Here is a 22,973-nt window from a genome sequence, read left to right on the forward strand (position 1 = left end):
TGTCATTCCCATTTCACAGACTGGGAAATAAGAACAAAGACAGATTAAGTAAATTGATCAAAGTCACACCGTCAAAGGGATAAAGCTGGATCTATTGTTTATTTACATGAATACTGACATCTTAAAGATTAAGAAAAACAAGTTCATACACATGCATTTAAAATTCATTTCAGTCAATAAATTTTTGTTGAATGCTTATTATATGCAAAGTACTGATTTAAACTAATAAACTGGTTAACATCAATGTTACAAATATAAAGTCCTTTTAAAGTATCAATATCAAAATAAATCTTCCTTCCTGTGGTCCACAAAAGAAAAAAGATGTACCAGCACTTGTAAATTAAGTTTTTCAATTTCCAAAATACCTCCTTTAAAACAGAAGGGAATAAATTCCAACAATGCTATTTTCAATGCATTCATTATTTCAAAACTTACTGGAATATTTGAAGATTACTTGCTGCAAGCTGGACTCATGTGAAAATAAACCTTGACTTCACAGAGAAGTCTACATTGATAAATATATATCCGTTGAATTAATAACAGTGTAAGTTACACATATGTATACAAAAAAGTAAAATGACAAGGATGAGAGGAGTTTTTCATGGAAGGTGGTGGGTTGCCATGGATTCTGCTTCTCTTGATTTTCTGAGGAGGGCTTGTTTGAGGGCACTAATTTTCTCATCAAGTTCAGCCAGTGAATAGTTCTGCTGTAAACAATAACGACACAAATTGCTGAATAAGATTCTGAAGTATCTTAATGCAGATAAAGTGCCAAATGAACTATAAATATTTAAAATATTCAAAAGCATGATCAAATGGTTTTTTTCCCTCATGAGAATAATCTTAAAACTGAGCAACTATATATGTTGACTATATCATAAATTTAAAGGCATAAAATAACAAGGCTTAAATATTTCTTTTTCTCTTTTCTAATGACTAAGCTCTCCTGAACCTTTTATACTTAGAAAGAATAAGTTAAAAAAAAAAAAAAAGCCTGATTATTAGACACTGGAGCCTATTTGAAGATGGGAGGAGGGAGAGGACTGAAAAACTGCCTATTGGGTATTATGCTGATTGCCTGGGTGACAAAATTATCTGTACACCAAACCCCCATGACATGCAATTTACCCATGTAACAAAGCTGAAAAACCCTTGAGCTTAAGTAAAAGTTGGAAAGAAGAAGAAAAATGCTAATTATACTACTACCAGGAGAAAAAAATCATTTGAGACATCAACTATCCCTTTTAATGGAAAACTTTCTATGTTGATTACTAAAGTTAACCTGAAGTGGAAAATAGTGAAGAAAATACTTCTTTTACCTTCCAATAAAAATTGGATTTATTCAAGTCTACCTATGTGAACACCCTCACTTATATATTAATATTTCTAATTTAGACACAAGTATTATGTAGTGGCTATTAGGGGGTAAAGAGAAGGGGAAATTGGGACTGAGTGCTAATAGATACAGGGTTTTGGGGGGGCAGTGATGGAAATGTTCTAGACTTAGTGGTGATGGTTGCACAACATAGTGAATATACTAATAGCCACTTTAAAATGATGAATTTTATGTTATGTGAATTGTATTTTTAAAGCAGCAACGAAGTGTTACAGTTTACTACATAAGAGAATAACTTTTAAAAACCTGATTATTCTCATAATCAATAGTAAAAAAAGTTAGTTAACTTTAAAAATAGCTGCTTAAAATACTTAGAAATTCTCTCTTGAGGGATCAACTATAATAATTTACTTCGGGAAAAAATAGCTGCTATCAAAAAACTTACTCAGAATTTTACAAGAAAAAAATATGCTACTCTTAAAAATCAGAAAGTTTTCTCCAACTTTAAATTCACATTACCACTGTTAAATTCTAGCAAAGCCTTACTATTTAAGGTTCAACTAATTAGTAAAGTAGCACTTTAGACAGGGCTGGCTGAAGTCAAACTCTGCCAAACACCCTTTTTGATCTAGGTGCTGCTAATTAGAAGTGTTCACAAAAGGAAGGGATGGGGGGAGACTGAAATTACTTGAGCACTTACTATTTTTAAGCACTTTGTGAATGACACATCCTTGTACTACTAAAAGCAGGACAAAGGTTTTATTTATTTAACCTATCTGAGTCATTCCATGCCCTTAAAATAATTTTTCTATTCAACTGTATTAGTTTATACTGCCCTTTTCTTCAGTCCTAAATTTTACCAGGGTATGACCTAAAAGCAACCATAGTAGAAACTTTTATTAATAAGAAAGGTATAAAACTAATCAAACTATTTCAGAAACCAAAATGAAAATGCAGTAACTTACTTGAGGTGGTTGAACTTTTCTTCTTTTTCCAGAAAAGCTCTAGATTAAAAAAAAAAAGGTAATGTTTAGAAAAATCTAAGCATCATTTTTTTTTCTTTATAAAATACTGTACAAATTATGTACAGCCTTGGGAACCCTGACAGAAAAAAAACCAACCAATTTACCAATACCAATTACTGTCTGTAACCAACATCTACCTTATATTCTGCAAGTTACCCTCTAAAGAGGATGACGTTAACAATATATAATAGTAATATTGCAGCAACATGCTCATCCTTGGCAATACATATTTTCCCATCAACTACCCGCTGCTAATGAGCCTGAGTGATTTCGGAAAGAGGTGCTCTGGGGATTTTCTGCTTAGTTTTTTTTCATAACCTTTCCATCCTAGGGTATTGAACAAGTGAAGTGACAACAGACAAAGGAAAAACGGAATCTGGTATATGAGGCCAAGGGGTGAAAACACACATACACACACCCTGGACTGACTATAGTAGACACTGTGGTTGTTTATGCAAGCAGCTACCTATCCACTACTTCTCTGTGTGGCCCAAGCCAATGGCTTCCCGGTCTTGTCAGTGACTGAAATGGGCATGGGTCCAGTTCTGGCCAATGAGTAAAGGAGAGGTCTGCTGGAGATTAAGAGGAGAGCTTCTGGAAAAAGCTTCCTCACATCTTTTGAGAGAAAGCCCTTAAAGAAGGCAGTTCCTCAGGATACTGCCGTATTGGGTAAGACACCTGAAAGTGCTGTAGCCATCTTGCCATCTGCCTGGGAAAGAAGTTAACACCAAGCAGAGTTAAGAGGGGAAAGAAACCTGTTTTCTCACAATTATGATTTAGCCACTGAATCAATTAAATCTGAAGCTTGTGCTACCATGGACTTCCTATTTTATAATTTACATAATGTTTAAGCCAGTTTTGAGTTCAAATTTCTTAGTTGAAGCTAACAACATTCTCACTGATCCACTAATGAGCCTTTTAAACTTTGGCCTAATGAATTCTTTCTAGACTTTTTCTTAGTTTCACACAAGCACTAGCTTTTGAATGGCAAATTAGTAAATGAGTATATTTGACAAAGAAACTGTGAATGTCCAAGACAAAATGTTCTCATGAGCATTTCTGACTACTGAGATTTTAAAGACAGCATTAAAACTCACATTTTCCTTTGTGTCAAAAGTTGATTCAAAGAACATCTAGGTATGCTTATCAAGTTACAATAAATGGGAAATCATTAAGTATTAGAATTAGTAATTAAGAAATAATAGAGCTCAGATAATTATGCTCCTTCCTTTGCCAAACCAAGCTGGATACCTGTGGTAGGGCCTATGGGCAAATAAGGAATCAATGTTTAATTTGGCGATTGATCAGTCTCCTAACTTCCTAAGAGGTGGCTTTTTATACACTTGATGCAAATATAATTGCCCTTGGCCAGGCGTGGTGGCTCATGCCTGTAATCCCAGCACTTTGGGAGGCCGAGGCGGGTGGATCAAGAGGTCAGGAGATCAAGGCCATCCTGGCTAACATGGTGAAACCCAGTCTCTACTAAAAACACAAACAACTAGCCGGGTGTGGTGGCAGGTGCCTGCAGTCCCAGCTACTTGGGAGGCTGAGGCAGGAGAATGGCATGAACCCGGGAGGCGGAGGTTGCAGTGAGCCGAGACTGCACCACTGCACTCCAGCCTGGGCGACAGAGCAAGACACCATCTTAAAAAAAAAAAAAAAAAAAAAAAAAAAATTCCCCTTGTTCTCCTAATCGTTTAACCTGTAATATATTGATAGTTTCCATGCTATTAAACAATCAGATTACTACTGTATCATAGAACCAAAGCAAGAAATATTAGAATGAGGAAAATAAGGTCATCAGTCGCTCAGTGACTTAAAAACAGTAAAATGTGGCCTTTTGGACTTGTTTTAGCTCTGAGCAGAATATTTTGATAAAAAGAACACTTAGAAATACCATATCTACCGTGGATACACTAGATTAACTTTACTGTTTGTTTTAGGTATAAGGAAATCTCAGTACAGTTCCTGACTTATGATGGCTAGATAAGGTTTTTCAAATTTACAATGCTGTGAAAGTGACAGACATTCAGTAGAAACTGTACTTCAAATGCTGAATTTTGATCTTTTCCTGGGCTAGTGACATGTGATACGATGCTCTCTTGTGATGCTGGGCAGTGGCAGTGAGCAAAGCTCCCAGTCAGCCATGGGGTATGAGGGTAAACACCCGATACTCTACAGTGTACTGTGCTGCCAAGGGACTTTCCTCAACTGTACATGATAGGCCAGTGTACACATTCTGAACATGTTTTAGGCTAGGCTAAGCTATGATGTTTGGTAGGTTAGAGGTGTTGAATGCATTTTAGACTTAATAATATTTTCAGTTTTTGATGGGTTTATTGGGACATAACCCCATCTGTATAGAAGTATAAAAGGTGGACATTTTAACAGGTTTTGGTACCTGAGAGAAAATACTTGAGAGCACAGCACACTAAAGAAAGAGCTGGAGAAAGGTAATGCAAAATTGTCTCTCCTCACCCATTATTTTACCTTACCAGGTTCCTAGTCATGCACCGCTTAATGATGGGGATATATTCTGAGAAATGTGTTAATTTTGTCATTGTGTGAACATCATAGAGTATACTTATAGAAACCTAGATGGTACACACCTAGGCTATATGGTATAGTCTATTGCTCCTAGCATATAAACCTTATGGCATGTTTCTGTATTGAATACTGTAGGCAAGTGTAACACAATGGTATATGTGTATCTAAACACGTCTCAACATAGAAAAGATACAGTAAAAATACCATACTATAATTTTATGGGATCACTGTAATATATGCAGTTGACTGTTGACTGAAACATCCTTATGCAGAGCATGACTGTCATACACACGTTCACGCACATGCACACACACATATGAATCCAGGGAACCAGTGCTCTAAGGAAACTCAAGGGTAAGGAGGCCTCTTCCATGACTGGCTTGCTTTCTTTCAGTTGTAAAAGGCAACTGATTCTATGCGTGCAGTATCTAAAATGTTTTTCTTCCCTTCTAGTCCCAGAGCCCTGATTCAGACCTTCATTTCTCTCTGGCTTGGATAATGACATGTTTCCTAAACTAGTTTCCTTGACTCCAATTTCTCTCCAACTCAGACTTCATAATGCCACCAGACAGGGACCTAAATTACAAGTTTCTCTCTTTCTCTAAAACTTAATTGTGCTCCAATGATACTAGAAGTGCAAACTGGTTAGTGTGACCTTCAAGGCCCTCTGAAATATGTTTACAATCTAATTTTCTAGCTGAATCCAGTTGTTCACTCATGCTTCAGACCCACCACACGTTCACACGCACATGGCCTGTGTACATGATGTTGACCTGATTTTCAGCATTCCCCTCCCCCGATACTTCCCTTAAGAACCAGGAGTTACTGTTACAGACTAAAAATTACTCTCAGTCAGTGCTTTGAACAAAGTTAACACACCTTCAAAGTCCAATAATGAGCTATCAGCCAAGTCCTATCCATTCATTTGCACATCTACTCGATATTGACTACATTCTGTGTCTCAAAGATGAACAAGACATAGTTCCTGCCCTTGAGAGTTTCAAAATATAAAGTGAAAAACATGTATAAACATATGAGTGATAAATGCTATAAACTAAACAATATACTTGTAAAAGCATGTTGGTACTTACTGTTTTCAAGTATCATAATTTAAAATCAGTAAGTCTTTGGAAATACTCTAAGATCGTTCTTTTAAATGGACTGTTAAGGCCATGCCCTTAAACTTTTGAAAACATTACATTTAAAGCTTTCCATGGCTAATGTGAAGAATAAAGATCTTTAGAACTCTTATATCAAAATGTCCAACAAGTATTATTAACTTTTGTCATAAATCCTGTTTTATACACATATAACTTATTTTGGAGTTTTATGTCTGGTCGTAAAATGAGAACTTTACATAATCTGATTACATTTTATAAAACAAATACAAATGACATCTTTTTTCCCCATAAATATTTGTTTTTCTATGCTACGCTTCAATGTTACCCATGATAATCAATCTCTATCCAATTGTAAGAAGCTCCCCCATGTTTAGAATTCATCTACATGTGAATCTGAATAAACACATTTCAATGAAAATCTTTTCAGAGTTCAGGAGTTCCAACAAAAGTTCAATCCTTAATAAACTGAATGGGCTCAACTTTCCTTTCCTATCTTTAGAAGCTATAGGACTGTGCTACATATGTAGTTTCTTCTGTATACTTTTGAGGGATAAATATGTAAAATTATGCAATTACCATGCATGTACTCCCAGCATGATGGTGAGGGTGATGAATAATGTACTATGTCCTCTGTAAGGTATGTGCTCAACTTCTCCTGTTTGCAAGGACACTCTTAGAGCTGACTGTATTCCAAGTGAGGTTCCTAAAGATGGCTCATTCATCCTATTATAGAAGGGTGATGAGTATGAAATCTTCTTTCCCATAGGGCTTGTGTCATGTATGTTCACAGGCCTAAAGGACAGAATGAGTCTGAATGTTTAAACTTTCCAGTGTTTTGTTCTTCCTTGTAGCTCACTACTAATTTAATGTGTCACTTACAACACTAATCCAGAAGAACTGCAGTTCTTCTAAAAGATATATAGTTTTTTTTTTTAACATATTTGGAAATACTTTTAAAAATCACCTGTTTTATCACAGGTTGCCACCATCCATCCTTTTCTGAATGCTTAATACATATATGCCAATCCTCTGTTTACATTTACAAATGCTTCCTGCCCCTGAAATTAGGCAGTCACCAAGCTTCAGACTTCAGGCCTCAGACAATCTGTGTTCCTATCCATCAATGGACTCTCACACTACACAGACTCTCCCAATTGTCCCAAGTGTAAGTGCCGTATCTCAAAAAGCTTACCTGATGTTTTTACCTTCATAACCTCCTCTGCCTTCAAATTCACATTTCCCACAAAAGTATCTCTCTCTCTAGATTTTCTTATTTCTATCAATGATGGTATCATTTTTCCAACCAGAAACTGGACTCTATCCTTGTTCTCTGTCTCTTTCCACATCCAATCATCAGTATTTGTCCATTTTTTTTCCTACTTGCATTAATCTTTTCCATTCTCACTCATGTCCCTATTTTAGGAACTAACTTCACATCTAAGCTAGCATAATACTATCTCCTTATCCTTAGTTTCTCTCGTTTGTCTCCCACAACTGTATTAGATAAATCTTTCTAAATATCGTGTTCACAAATCACTTCTCTGCTCAAATGCTTTCAGTAGATTCCCCCTGCTGCCTGCCTGGAAAATAGATTTTAAACTTCTGAGCATAGCACTTAAGGTCCTAACAATCTGGCTACTTCTACCTCTTTACCCACTCTATCCTATCTGTAACAGATCAAAACAAAACAAAAAGATTATGATGTGGAGGGCTTTTTTTTTTGTTAAACACATCTATAAGTTTTGTTTTTTTTGTTTTTGAGACCGAGTTTTGCTCTTGTTGCCCAGGCTGGAGTGCAATGGCGTGATCTTGGCTCATCGCAACCTAAGCCTCCTGGGTTCAAGCGATCCTCCTGCCTCAGCCTCCCAAGTAGCTGGGATTATAGGCATGCGCCACCATGCCCAGCTTATTTTTTTTATTTTTTATTTTTTTGTATTTTTAGTAGAGATGGGGTTTCTCCATGTTGGTCAGGCTGGTCTTGAACTCCCGACCTCTGGTGATCCGCCCACCTTGGCCTCCCAAAGTGCTGGGATTACAGGCGTGAGCCACTGCATCCGGCCTCTGTTAAGTTTTTATAAATCAGAATCAGAGAGAAGAGAGGAATGATGCTGCAGCAAGTTCTCATTGGAGGCATCTGATTTTACCATACTCTATTGTAAGATCGGTTCTATCGTTAATAAGAATTATATTAACAAGGTATGAAATTGAACTAGAAAAATAACTTTCCTAGGTTATTGCCTTCTTTAATGAAGGCAGTTAGAATGGGAAAAACTTATGGTAGACTACTGTAGGAAAAGTCATTAAAAATCTTTATGAAGTCTCCTAGGAAGACATTCAAAGAATAATCCTAAAAGTGAAAAGACCTTTGTAATTATGTAGTACAACCAATACATTTTCTAAAATTAGACATCTTGAAGATCAGAGGAATAGAGTGACTTTTCCACGTTTATACAGCTACTTTGTAGTTATAAAACTAAATAAATGCCAATGAGGTTTTTACCATGTGCTAAGCAGTATGCTAAGTGTTTGATCAGCATTATCTCATTTGATCTTTGCTTCAGCCCTTAGTATTTTCATAAACCTCATTTTACATTTGAGAGTAGTAAATCACTAAAACTCTTCTCTGAAATTTTGTCATTTAGGACTTGCTGCTCCCTTTTGTTACGTGACCTGCCTTCTTCTTCTGGAAATACTTCTTTTCTGTAACTCACTCTTATACTCAATCTATAACTTTGGAAGATTGCTGTCATACCTAAAATAAATTTTAAATATATTTTCACCACTAACTTATATGATCCATGCTAAAATGGGCTATCTCACATAATTTTTCAGAAATAGGAGTTTTGGTATAATCTCACTTTGATATTATTTTAGTTCTAATATGGTACTGCTTTAAAAAAAAAACAAAACTTAGAGAAGGCAGGTATTATACATAATCACCTCAGAAGACTGAGGAAAACACAATGAGCTCAGGATCATTTTTCTGAAAAATGTTGATGTGCCAAAGATACTAACTTACCAGCACAACACTGTTTCTTAAGGTTCTTGGAAAACGGGGTAAGAATGAATGAATGCTAGAGTTAAGGAATTACAAAAACATAGAAAGTCTGGTGGTTAAGGTAAAGAATAAGAGTGGCAGCTTGAGGTGTGTGTTTGTTTAGTATTAACTGCATATGAGCTGAGAGAAGGAGCCTGTTGGGGAAGAGAGATTAAAGAGGCAGAGGGATCACTGAAAGAGCAAGGTTACAGAGGAAGCCTCTGTTTTACAAGGTAGCAAGTTCAGAGTAACAGGCCCAACCACCACCCAGGCTGACTTACTATGCCATGAAAATGGCCTAAGTTTGAGAATGTGGGTAATATATAATAGAAGTATCCCTTTTTAAAAATTCTAAATTTTAAAAATATTCAGAACCAGAGATTTTAAGGAATTAGATATATCCCCTATACAGGACTGTGTTCATTCATCTTTGAATTATTAAAATAGTGTTTTGCTTATAGATCAATGAGTGACTGTTAAACCACAAAGAATCCAGAATACAATAACATTTTCATTTATTTTTAAAAGACACTTATACTCACTACAGACTGAAAATATTCAGGAGAGATGCCTTCCAATTCAAGGATTTTATCCTCAAGTTTTTTAATTCTCTGATAAATGTCTCTTGGCACTGGACCACCTAAATACATTAAAAAAAAATCTGAGATACTATTGAATAATTCTTTCTTTTCACAATTTTTATTCTTAAAATACCATGCAAAGACACTTATGCAAAGGAATGGAAAATACTTAAGAAAATAAAAAACAAAAGTAAAACAGAATGAAGTCCTTAGGTCGTATTTTTGTATTATACACTATCGGACATATTGTACTACACTTCCTCTCTCCAAACCCCATTTATGCTTCCTATATTCTAGGAGTTTCATGTTAAATTCATTTTACAAGATATTGAATAGCTTCCATGTAGAACAATTTATATTTCTGATATGCTTTGATAGTTACATGGGAGGACAAAAATGCATAGTGACAAATGACGATAATTCAATGCAGTGGTTGCAATATGTCATATTATTTTCTTCAATTAATATTTCTCCCTACATGCCATATTTTTCCTTTGACCTAAAAGAATGTAAAAAAGGGGCTTTACCATAATTCTAAACTAACAAACTTTCTGAGGAGGGGAAGAGTAAATTATGGCCACTCAAATTTTAAATTTATGATTATATCAAGAATCCTTCTACTTCTCACCCCCTCCACACTGTGGCCTTTCTGGTCCAGACCACTTCCACCTCTCCCTGGATTACTGCAACTCCCAAACTGGTCTCCCTGTTTCTGCCATGCTTCCGTAGAGTGTATTTTCAACACAGGAGCCAGTGATCCTCTAAAAATATAAGTTAGATCACATCATTTCTCTGCTTCCAATACCTGATCATTTCACTGAGGTTAAATACCTTCCAATACCTGATCATTTCACTCAGATTAAATACCAAAGCCCTCACAATGGCCTACAAGGCCATACACAATGTGGATATTCTCCCTATGCCCACATGGTTCCAGCCACTTGATTACTTTTTTTCTGTTATTCAAAGAGGCCAAGCACCCTGTAAGCTTCAGCTGGTTCCCTCTACCGCCATAATCCCAAGTCAATTTCAAGTCTTGGCTCAAAAGTTACCTTATCAGTAACACCTTCTCTGACTATTCTGTTAAAAATACCAGTACTACCACTCCCCTACCCAGCACTCCCTTATCCTCCTTACCTTAATTTTCTCCATTCCATTACTACCACCCAACATTCAGTATATTTTCTTTCTGTATTATTTGTTTCCCCATTCTAATATAAGCTCCAAGAGGACAGAGTTTTATCTGTTTTGTTCATTAGGTAGGGCTGTGCAGCTTGTGCACTGCACAAACCTAGGAAGCATCAGTTCATAAGACTACAATGCATGGCAAAGAGCTGGTGCTTGATATTTACTGACTGAATGAATACATGATTAGCCAATCATTATGCAATTAAAGAATACGGGTAAATTTCTATATCAAAATTGTCAACTTGTTATGTAAAAATTCTAGAAATTTTGAGGATTTTAAGAAATCTTAGGACCTTGGTTGTTCTTGTTCTTAAATAAGTTAACTTGTTCATTTGACTTTGCTTTTGCTGCTCCCTTTACCTACAATGTCCTCTGCCTTACTTCTGTATCTTTCAAGAGCCAGTTCAAGCTTCACTGGGTAACGCAGGCACTGCCGAAACCTCTTCATTCGCATAAAGGCTCCTTGTGCCCCCACCATTCTTCAGTGCTCCTGAGTTTTTTGGGACAGACTCTCACTATACTGTCCAGGCTGGTCTCAAACTCCTGGACTCAAGCTCTGTTCCCCACTCAGCCTCCCAAGGAACTGGGATTATAGGCACACACCACTACACCCATCCTTTCATTACTCCTTTAAAACTCTACTTCACTATTAATCTTTCTCTCATTTGGATTATAAAGTCCTTGAAGCTGGGGACTATGATTATATCATCTCAGTATCCCTTGTGCCTAAAATAGTGCTTGGAGCATAGTAAACATTCAACAGATATTTTTCCAAAAACTTAACTGTTTCATACTATTATTAGAGACTTAACCAGTCAATCCTTTTATACAGTGGCATTTTAAACCCATCCACTTCTGAGGGAAGAGATTAATTCTTAATGCCAGTGTCTTATTACTCTCAAAGACTTACTCATTCTGTTTTCTTCTTCTACCTTCATCTGGCTAGCATAGCTTCAGATAGCTAGTATACTCCAGCTATACTGGATTCAGATATCTCCTGAACCATATTTTGTGTTTTTGTCCTTTTTTGCAAATGGTGTTTCTTCTTTTTGGAATGCTTTGCTCTGGAAAATTCCTACTAATCCTTCAAGGCCTCAAATGTCACTTCATTAGGATGCCATCATCCCTTGACCTACCCTGAGAGAGTCAAACACTAACTTTCTGTCCCTCCGTACATACATCTGCAAAGGTGAAATAAGCAACTGTCCATTCAATAAACATTTGAGCACTTGCTTTGTGCCAGGCACTGTAATAGGTACAAAGAAATGAATATGACAGACATAGTTGCACTCTCACGGACTATCTAGCAGGAGACAGACATTAAACAAACAGAACCATGATAACTGCTTTAAAGGGGAGCAGGGAATACCAGGTGCTATATAAGATTATACAAAAGGTGAATCTGCACTGGTCTAGGATTAGGAAGAAAAAGCATGGACAGAAGGGCATGAGTATAAAGATCCTAAAGCAGCACAACGAGTGGGAGATGGGAAGCCCAGAGGTGTAGCTGGAACTACAGATGTGGACAATACTATTTAAAATTACAAACCCCCTTCAATCCCAATCTCCACATTTTTAGCTGGGAAGAAACAAGATCAAATTTGAGCTTTAGAAAAAGCAATCTGGCCACAGGGTAGAGATGATCTAGAGGAGTCCAGTGGCAAAGAAACCAGTAAATATCCTTCCATCAGTCCAAGCCAGAGATCACAGTGGCTTCAACTCTAGTAGTAGCAGTAGAGATAAGACAGAAGTGGGCAGATTTGAGAGATATTTATTTAGAAAACAGAATCAACAGACATGGTGACTAAATGGAGAGGGAGACTCAGTCTCTGCACCCAGTGAGGACTTGGGTTTGAGCAGGGTGCAGTAGTGACACATGATTGTAGTCCCACTGACACAGGAGGTTGAAGCAGGAGCATTACTTGAGCCTAGGAGTTCAAGTACAACCTGGGCAAGACTGGACTATCTCTTTTTTCTTTTTTTTTTAGAGTTGTCACTTAGTATCTTAGGCATGTTTGCTTGGGCTCTTTAAACTTCAATTTATTTATCTGTACAGTGATAACACCACCACCATCTCAAAAGGGTACTATGACCTTTTAAGTGAATTGACATACACATAACACTTCCTGAGTGACTGGCACTTACTGTTCAAGAAATGTTAGGAGCTAAATGAAAATTTGGTGACTAAATGAACTGCAATTTTTTAACCATTTGCAAAGGTTCATTATGAGGTGCCACTTAGCACTTTGCTTACCTGTCTGTAACCGCAAGTGGGCCTCAATATTTTGTAGTCGTTCTTCTACAGCCTGATTACCACAGTCTCGAAGCATGCTGTTAGGTTTATGACCTGACCCTGGAATTCCTTCAGGTCTAGTCTGTGGTCCGTATGTATTCACAACTCTAGAAACTAAATTAAGAAACTTTTGAGCCTATATACATTTGTATTTCAAAAATCAGAAATTCTTATTCCTTAACAGCACTTTATATTTTTTTCATAAAGACCATCTAACCACAAGTATGAAGGACGGCAAGATGTTTTTGTTTTAAAATAAAATTTAGATGGGAAAGTTATTTCTATTCCATTTTGCTAATAATCTAGACTTCTGTCAGTGACTCAGATGTCATGTGGTGGTTACTTACCTTTTACGTGACTTTTAAATCCGGGGTAAGGGGTAAAAATCGCATCAGTTCTTGCACAACTATTTTCTAAGGAGAATTTAGATAAATATAAGTTTAAATATATTCTTCCCTTCAAATGTATGAGATTTTAATAAACTTTCAATAATTCATATTAACATTTTACTCATAATAATTTTAATAAATAATAGTAACAATAAATTACTATCACACATAGGATAGAATTTAGTGACCTTCTTTACCTGTCAAAATTTATCATAATATCTAATATTCTTACCTAATGTTCAGATTTATATACAGAAAAGCCATCAACATTAAGTGGCACAAATTGATACAATTTTGAAAACCAATGTCACTATTTGGGCCACTGGAGAAAATAATCTACCATAGAGTATTTAAATTCTACTTCATCGTAGAAATAAAACTCATCATTTTTACTAGAATTCTTTTAATTCAGCATTTTTTATTTTAATGACCAAATTAGTGAACATCCAACAAAAAGAATTATTTAACATTTTTATTTCAGAACTCCACACAAAGATGACCTCAAAACCTCAAGTACACATACATTTCCACTCTACCTAGATTTCCAGTGCTCATTTTAAAAACCCTTCATCACAAAAGTCATCTACTTCTTCTTATCCCACCACTTTTCAAAAAAGTTTCATTTTAGTAAAGGTCTATTGTGAAAATTTGTCCCTATTTTTTTCCAAGCTGAAAAGTAGTTTCTTTCAAATTAAGTATCAATGCATAAATTACAAAAGGGGAAAATTGGAAAGATGTTAACATATAATACAACTAATTAACATAATTGTTATATATTAACATACGATACTACATAGTAATAATATATACTTATGTTTGAAATAATGTTTAAAGGCCACACATTGGCAGTAAATCTCCTGTAAAATTCCCCTGAATATTTTGTAAAAAATGGCTGGTAAATGAGATTCTTTAAAAAAAATTATTTTTTCCCCCCTATGAAATTTGATTTTTAAAAATTCCACTGCTTATAGTTAGGTTAAATTTGTAGGTATTAAAAGGAACACACTAACATATTAAAATACATTTGTATTTTTTTCAGTTGAACTTTCCTTAGTAGTTCTGTTGATAAATCAAATAGTATGCATAAAATTCCAAATCCACTTAGCTTTTATATCTAGAGACTAAATAGACATCTTTCCTCCTTTTTTTTTTTTTTGGAGGCACCTCAAAATATGCTTAAAGGGCCATCCTTTCTCCATTCTCTTCCTACCATTTCATGGGGCTAAGGGTTAAAAAAAGAAGCTATCATCCATTCCAGAACTATATTCCAAACATATAGATTAACTGACCATCAGTGAGAAATTCAGCATGGTGTGAGTGTATGACTGCTAGTCACTCTCCACAGCAATTCTTGCTAGCACTGTTTTGAGCCAGCAAAGAATTGAATGGGCCAAGGAATCCTGCTGAGCATTTCAATTCTCGTCAATTTCTATCCCCTGGTGGTTTATAATAATAGAGTTAGCAGGGAGAACAGAGGAATAACATTAGTGACACATGTGCTTGCTCTCTCAACAAACCCTTTCTCATAGTCGCTTGTAGTTGGTTGTAGTACCTGAGATTTTGCCATTGTTGCACCTGTTCTGAAAAGCTAACAGGAAAATATACCAAATTTAGAGATGCACATGTGTAATGTTAATAGTAGCACACAGCTAAATTCAGGACCCAATACCAGCCTATATTATTTCATTAAGAGAATCAGTGTACCAATGTGATATGAGTCATTTCTAGGTTCATCTGACAATTCTATGTTCATAATAATTAGCCATGAGATATTAGAGGCAACAAGAAACATGTTCATTCCAATTATGAACTCTTCTCCATAATTTTTCCTAAGAACTACTTGTTCTGATTATTACTATGGTGCCTGAGTATAATCTATGGCACTGCATTGCAATATTTTGTATTCTGCAGCATACTTGCAGATTTGTAAATGTACTATAGCATCAAGTAGAGAGGTAAAGGTGAATCAGATGAAAAACAGCAAATGTATGCACTATGGCAGAAAGGAAAAAAGCAAGACACCATGGTCTTCATGATAAATTGGTTGTATCGTGACACAGGACATTTCAAACAGCTCAGGAGTAGTGAGAAAACTGCTCCCTCTGGAGGAATATTAACTTTACTAAGTTCACTTACGTATTAACATCATGATTTCACAGTACATGTATAGGTTTGAAATTCATAGAGCTCAGTTCCTTTTACTAGTGAGATAGATCAACCTTCTCACTCGTACCTCACCTTCATTTCCTAAAGGAACTTTAAAATAATCTTCACCTGTGATAAACACTTTTTAATGTTAGCATTTACTTTGTGTAACCAAAATGAAAACCAGTTTGCAATATAGTCTATTATTAAGCAGAAGGAAACTCTACTGTCTTAATTACTAACTAAATCCATGAAATAAATTGAATTGTGTTCTAAAAGCTATTCATTTAAAAAATAAATAAAAGATTAGAGCAACTATAAAAATTGTGCTTAAAACCCTATGAAAATTAATTTCCAGGTAGTTACCTTGATTACAATCAATAACATTGCAAAATTCCCTGACGTTGTTTTCATTGATTTCAGCTTGCTTTCTTTCAATAAATGCAGATATTCGTCTGTCAATCTACAAACAACAAGTTTTAACAGTGTAAACATAAGATTTTTTAAAATAATACCCTCTCGCCCCCGCCAAAAAACCTTCTTACTTCTGCTTTTCCAGCCTTTATCTGAACTACTTCTGGATCAAAATGGATCTGTGTCTTTTTCACATCTCTTAAATCACTTTCTTTGTGCTTTTCTTCCTCTTGTAGGTCGCCAATGGAAAATTTGTCATTTACTTCATTTTTGTTCCCCATTTCTGTTCTTCCTATCTCTTCAACAGCAGTTGTATTCTCCTCTTTAATCGGAGACTGAAGTTTTGCTAAAAAAGGCTGAGAACAACACAATTCCATCTGCTGAGGTTCAATCTGACCAAAATTAATTACACACTTAATATATTTACATAAATTTCTGCTAAGTAAATGAAATACTTAATATCAGTTAATAAATATAAAAAGTTGGTATACCAGGACACATAGATCTGACCACATATAAGTACTCACTATTCTCTGCTATTGTAACCATTATCATTTGCTATAAATTTGTTTTTTAAAAAAGGAGAGAGGAAAAAAGAAAAGAAAAAAGAAAAGAAAACCTAAGGAAATTTAAAATTTTCTTTGAGAGAATCATTCTGTCACTCATCTTTTATTTTGTGCCAAATCAAAGCCTTCAGCCTCTGGCACCAATGCCACTTAATTAACATGTCATTCAAATGCCTCCTCAGAACACTAAGGCTTAGTATTTTTCCTCCTTAACACGAGAGCTAGTGCTCTCACTCAGCAAAGCCCTGCATTATCACTGTATCACTGGAGATTCTCCACTTGAAACTGCAGTTGGCCAATGTGAATGAGGAAGCATAGACATGAAATATATAGGTGTTAGGCTGAGTGAACACTCAGACTTTTCCTGACATGGCAAGATATCTTTTGGTCATAAAATTAAATTTTAAAAAAGAAAACGAACAAGAAAAAAAAAAGATCTATAGCTGAAAACAGGCAGAGGCCTATCACTATACTACAGGGGGAAAACCCCTGTTGTAGAATTTAAACTATATTACTCATTTACTGTTCCCCTCCCCCACTCCCCACAATGAGGTCTCATTTGAGTTCTAGAGCTCACTGCTCTGCCCTTTAAAAACAGGGTTAACTATTACTTTTAACATGAAACAGTTAAAATTTCCCACAAAGTCAATGAATGGAGGGCTGAAAATTAATGCCTATTCCATTAGTCAAAACACACTAACACTAATAACGTTCCAATTATTTTTTTCATACCTACAATTTTGCTTCCATTGTTCGCTATACTACTCTTTTGAAATCTTATAACACCTTAATCACAGTAAACTGACCAATCCAGTTTTTCCACTTATCTTTTTGACACTTCACATTTTACACTTTGATTAGAGATAAACTGCAAACTTACATCAATTATAATTGCAAAGATGTTCAATTAGAAACCAGCAAGGTCATAATACTGTTCAGTTATTAACATGAAATATTTAAAAATATAACAACACTATTATAAATACCAATTCAATATTAACTTCTAATATAAAGAATGAATTATTTCAAACTGTTAAGGAAAAGAAATGATAAAATAGTGACTGGCTACTTACTAAGATGAGACATTAATGTCATAGAAATTACTTTCTTTTTAAAAACTATGCTGAAACTGTTTAATTGCAATAGACACTCCAGGATGTGTCATGCTGGGATAATGCCCCTTCTTGAACCACTGAAAGCACTCCATGAGCCTCCAAACTCACCCAAGGCATGGAATCATTATCATAGCATGACACACACCTGCCGTGTCTTATTGCTTAATTATAACCCACCATAGATGGAACTGTATTGAATTTTCAGTGCAGGTCTAGAATTGAATAGAATTGCATTCATTCACTCATACCCACATTGGTCTTTTGGGCTATATTCCCTTAACTGTCCTGATCACTACTGAAATTAACAGATTTAGATTAAATCCGGATGTAAATAACGTTTTATTAGCAACACTATTAATATAGTGTTTAGAACTGTCAAATACTCCAACTAACTTAACCACAATCAATTTCTATTTTCAATATCGGGTTATCATTTCTAACAAGAAATTTACCTGTAAATATAAAATGTGTTGTTCAAGTGCACTAAAGAGCAATGCAGGCTGGAATGCCGAGAGGCTCTGGAGCTTGTTCCAATCGATTGTAATTTTCACCACATCATCTCTGAGGTCAAGCTTCAAAGGGGCAAACCAGCAACATCACAAAAATTACACGATTAAGCTCTACATATGGAATTGTCACAAAAATAAGATTTCTAGAGTAACGGGTCTATTTTGCTCTAAGTTATCAAGTTTTTAATAATACACTGAAATGCTCTACCCAGTTACCATTTCAAAAGGCCAAGAAAGCTACAGATTTTCATAAAAAAACAAAAACAAAATGACATGTCGTTCAAATTCTATTCTTAGGTCTGTGTAATGGGACCATTTTAGAGGTAAAACCATTCATGAAAGATGAAAAGATGAAGGCTCTTTTGATACTTCAATATATACAAACCTTTGGATGGAGTCCAATATAGGCTTGCCCTATTCAGAATCCTACTACTTCTAGCTCAGAGCCTTAAACAGAGGAAGTACAAGTGTTTTGTGAAAGTTTTAACATGCATCTTTCTCTTTAAGTATGTACACAAATACATATCAGAAATATATCATTATTCTGATGTCCTCCAAATCACATTTTTAGTTTTTTAACTTTTAACCGATTTTTAAACTAATTTAAAAGTCAAGATTATTCATACATATAAAGTGTAGGGATAAATGGCAACATGTTTATTTCAAATAAAAAACTATTATTTAGCAATGGAAGTCTGAAGCTGAAAAACAAAGACTTCTCCACCACAGTGAAATAAGTTGTCAGACTGGATGAAATGTCCAGATCTTTTGTAAATGCTAAGATGTGACAGCTCATTATATGGAAATTTCTATCAGTTGGTGATCTAATAGAATAAAATCATATCCAGAAAACTACCAAGAACCTGAATATAAGATTATTATCAAAATGAGTGAAAATTTTACAATGAGAGCGCCCATCTGCAGTCTTTTGAATGAATAAAAGTGAACCATCAAAAACTTTTCTAGGGACATGTGTTTACAGCATAGTATAAGACTATACTTCATAGTAGAATCAAGTTAACATAATTTATTCAAAATGAGTCATCTTTTCTACAAAATAAAGGTGTTACGTGAGTTCAAATACAGATTTTATGAGTCACAATTATAATAAAAAAGATGAATCACTGTACAAAGATCAAAAAGATATAAGGTTACCAATAAAAAGATAATATATTGAATAAATACTATGTGACAGAAATTTACTGCCCTTTGAAGATGAGAATGGAAGCATTTAAAAGTCCATATTAGACAAGTATAAAGAGATATGAAATTTCATGTAGGCTGCACTGGCAAAGATTAGAATATATTAAGATTGTACATTAAAGTTAATGCATTAATTTATATTACTTTAATTCCTATAAAGATTTTGTTAGACAACAACCTGTATTATGTATGGAAGTAACCCATTAATGTACTTTCATAGTCTTCAAGGAGATCTATAGTTGATTATAGAAAACTTAAGAATACAGCTTGGGGATAAAGCAGGCAAATCCTCAACCAAAGCAAAGTATCACATTTTCTAGAGAAAATAACTTATAGAAAAATAAGTCTTAATGTTTGGTTCATATTCTCATTTCAATTCAGCAGAATTACATAAGCTTCAAGTGCAATTAAGAATAATTAGTCTTTTAAGAAAACCACATAATGTCACAAATTAATTTTAAAACTGTCCTAATACATCTAACTATTCATTCAACAAATTCATTATTAGTAATATGAACTCTATGCATTTTGCCCTACAGAACTTGGAAGAGTAAACCACTCACTCGAAAATCTCTATTAGTCTGCTATTAATATAGACTATTTAAATATATATTTTCAGTAAAAACTTTACTAAATTAATACAAAAATCCAAGCTAAAAATAAATAATTGTTTAGCTTGGTAAGATGGACCATCCAGAGGCAAGCAAAAAGGTTAAAATTAGTAAATTTTGTGATCTTAAGTAAAAAATTATTTTTAACATTCAGTTTTATGTTTCCTACTGAGGAGATCTAATAATACAACGATACTTAGGGATGACACAGGATGAAGTTAGGCATGTTACAACATACATTCTAAATATCCTTTAAAGTGGTTGCAAAAGAAAATACTGATTTCTCTGGGGGCAATTTTATAAGTATGGAACTCTAATTTTCACTCTTAACACTTCTCAAAATATAGAGTATTATGAAAACAGTTTGTATTTAATTGATGAAACAATCATATTTTTGACACTTGTATAGGAGGTCCCTTCACTGTGTCATGGTAAAGTAACCAAATATTTACTGTGAACATTTTTGACAGGTGACATAAGTAAATTGTAATCACTTCTTTACTTGTACAGTACTTGAATGTTTAAAATTTTCTAATGAGTTTGAAAAATTCAGTATGCAAAATATTTCAAAAGAAATGTTTAAATCATTGCTCAGTATTTTTTAAAAATATTCCATCTTCTGTTAACAGGTGAGAATAAACTTTTTTCATCTTGACATTATAAAATAAATAAACTTAAGTTCCAACGTCGCCATAAAAAGTTCTCTAACTTTTAAACCATTTAAACGTCTTGGGTCTTAAGAATGGAATGTTAATAACAAAACACCCCAAGTCTTTAAAAAATGTTTTTGGTAAGTACTTGGCAAACAACTGAATTTAAAAGTTATATCTTTAAGCAGACTCCATTAATAACTGCGTCATTTCATAAAACCGTTTAACTTACAGTAATGTTCTTTGTAAGACACAACATACTACGATTTTTAAAAATAGTAACTTCTTAAAAGACTGATTCTCCATCTACTCAAGGCTTTAAAAATAATTTTCACAAATCAGACAAATGTTCTATTTTCATAGGAATTTACCATTATCTTTGACACAAATGCCTGCTTTGTCCACTTGCGCTAGTACCAGCCCCAAAACAAACTTTTACGGCTAGAAAATGGTCTATGTAAGATAGAAAATATTTCCTTTTAAAAGGCAGGTAAACAAGCATACTTTTAAATTGTTTCTCATTTAAAACTTGAATTTTACACCATGAAACGAAACAGTGACTTGATCGAAGAAGCCCATTTCAATTTAAAACCAATTTTACTATGACATTTCTGCAAAAGCGATTTATCAGCCAGTTAAACTAGTTAATAGTTAAATAACGACAGTTCTAACGCCAACAGCATTTTACGCTAGAAGTATTTTAAATGAATTCCTTTTACTTTTCTCCCCATTTGAAAGGATTATAGATGCGCAAAACAGCCCGAAGGAAAAAAGAAATAAACAAAACCAAGTAACTCATAAGAACAAATTACTCCCTCCCCCACCAAAAAAAGCTAATAAGCGCGCGCTTTTCTATAAATCTCAGGCCTACTGACCAACCAATTCCCATAAAGAGTAAGTTGGAGGAAAAAGGACCCTGAACGCTAAGCGCCTCCTAAACTCGCAGTGAAGCTTTTCCACATTCATTCTCTCCAAGCCTGCCTCTCTCGGAGCCGGGTTTTCACTTAGGCCAACCTCACCCACTCTTGGGGAGGACAGCTGCAAGGTAAACGACTCTGCAACCGGTACCGCCGTCCTCCTCACTCCGACCGAGGAGGCTGGGCCCGGGCTCCTTCCACACCTCGGCTTCGGGACCGCATCCCACACCTCTGCAGGCCTAGCTGCCCCCGGCCTCTGCTAGAGAAAAAGAATGGCGAGGAGGGACCGGATGGTTTCCATATTCCCAGTCCCTCAGGCCACCTCTCACCTGTCCAACCAGGGTGTGTAGGGAGCGAAAGATTTCGTAGAGCACCTCTCGGGAGAGGTTGGGTCTGCATCTTCGCTCCAGGTTCCTGTCACCGCTGCTCGGGCGATTAAGCTCCGTGGCAGCAGCCATGATATCTTCTCAGGCCGCCCCACCACCACCACCACCAAGATTTGCTCACAACCCCGCCCCCTCCCTTCCAGCTTTAGTCGCTTGGCGATGACGTAAGACACGGAGTCTGGTTTAGATCGGGCTTTGAGGCCCCACCCTCTCTATGTGAATGACAAGCACGTTACACCAATCAGTTGCAGCTGTGACATTGCGCCGAGGCTCTGAAGTGGGTAATTGCAGACCACAGCTAGGCTGGAATGCTGTGTTTGGGGTGGTCATTAGAGTCGTGGTCTCTTTAGCGTTATGAAGCCTACCTTGACTCCTAGGTGTTCATTGTGAATCTTGGTAAGAGGAGACATAGTTAAATTTTGTAGTTTGAGTCCAAAAAGTAAAAGTTGACATTTTAACATGGCGGTGTGGAGTGGGTCTGGAGGAAGCTTGCTGGTCAGGGATGGAGTGGTGCCCACACGTGTTTCTAAACATTGGAAAACTCACACGGAATTATCATGATTGGATAGAACATTTTCATCTCTTCAAGTTTGTTGTTGTTGTTTTGGAGACAGAGTCTCACTCTGTCGCCCAGACTGGAGTGCAGTGGCACTACCTCGGCTCACTGCAACCTCCGCCTCCCAGGTTCAAGCGGTTCTCCTGCCTCAGCCTCCTGAGTAACTGGGACTACAGTTGATATTCTCTGTTTTAACTGTAGAGACGCTTAACCCTAAAATTGTTTCAAAGAAATGAAACACTGTCAATATAATTCCAACAGGAATTTAACCTGGATAAATAATATCATGCAACCACAATCTTTGAAATTAGGACATAAAACCGAATTCAAATTTTACAAAGTATTATTTATCATAATAGCTTTATTATAACGATGTTTGTGGGG

At 35.5% G+C, this 22,973-nt stretch overlaps 1 protein-coding gene across 8 annotated transcripts, besides 2 other annotated features; it reads right to left on the reverse strand.

Annotated features, from left to right (window-relative positions):
- Positions 1-80: 80 nt before the first annotated feature.
- Positions 81-22,154, reverse strand: MBIP (MAP3K12 binding inhibitory protein 1). 8 transcript variants are annotated; one of them, NM_001144891.2, is made up of 9 exons: positions 21,977-22,154; positions 18,210-18,329; positions 16,208-16,432; positions 16,029-16,125; positions 13,476-13,541; positions 13,090-13,242; positions 9,609-9,706; positions 2,302-2,340; positions 81-704 (listed from the first exon to the last, which is right to left on the reverse strand). In NM_001144891.2, exons 1-9 carry the CDS (start codon positions 22,103-22,105, stop codon positions 600-602), a joined length of 1,032 nt encoding a protein of 343 aa, NP_001138363.1. In that variant the 5' UTR covers positions 22,106-22,154; the 3' UTR covers positions 81-599. The 8 variants fall into 8 exon arrangements, with proteins under 8 accessions (NP_001138363.1, NP_057670.2, XP_047287425.1 ...); NM_016586.3 differs by having other exon boundaries at positions 81-707; XM_047431469.1 differs by lacking the exon at positions 13,476-13,541.
- Positions 21,843-22,102: an enhancer, noted in NCBI's record as "active region_8282". NCBI's record gives its function as "activates an Ori minimal core promoter by ATAC-STARR-seq in GM12878 lymphoblastoid cells {active_cell/tissue: GM12878}" and the evidence as "EXISTENCE:reporter gene assay evidence [ECO:0000049][PMID:35858748]".
- Positions 22,503-22,552: an enhancer, noted in NCBI's record as "active region_8283". NCBI's record gives its function as "activates an Ori minimal core promoter by ATAC-STARR-seq in GM12878 lymphoblastoid cells {active_cell/tissue: GM12878}" and the evidence as "EXISTENCE:reporter gene assay evidence [ECO:0000049][PMID:35858748]".

The sequence above is a fragment of the Homo sapiens genome, chromosome 14 (genome assembly GCF_000001405.40).
Source record: "Homo sapiens chromosome 14, GRCh38.p14 Primary Assembly".
NCBI classification, from domain to species: domain Eukaryota; kingdom Metazoa; phylum Chordata; class Mammalia; order Primates; family Hominidae; genus Homo; species Homo sapiens.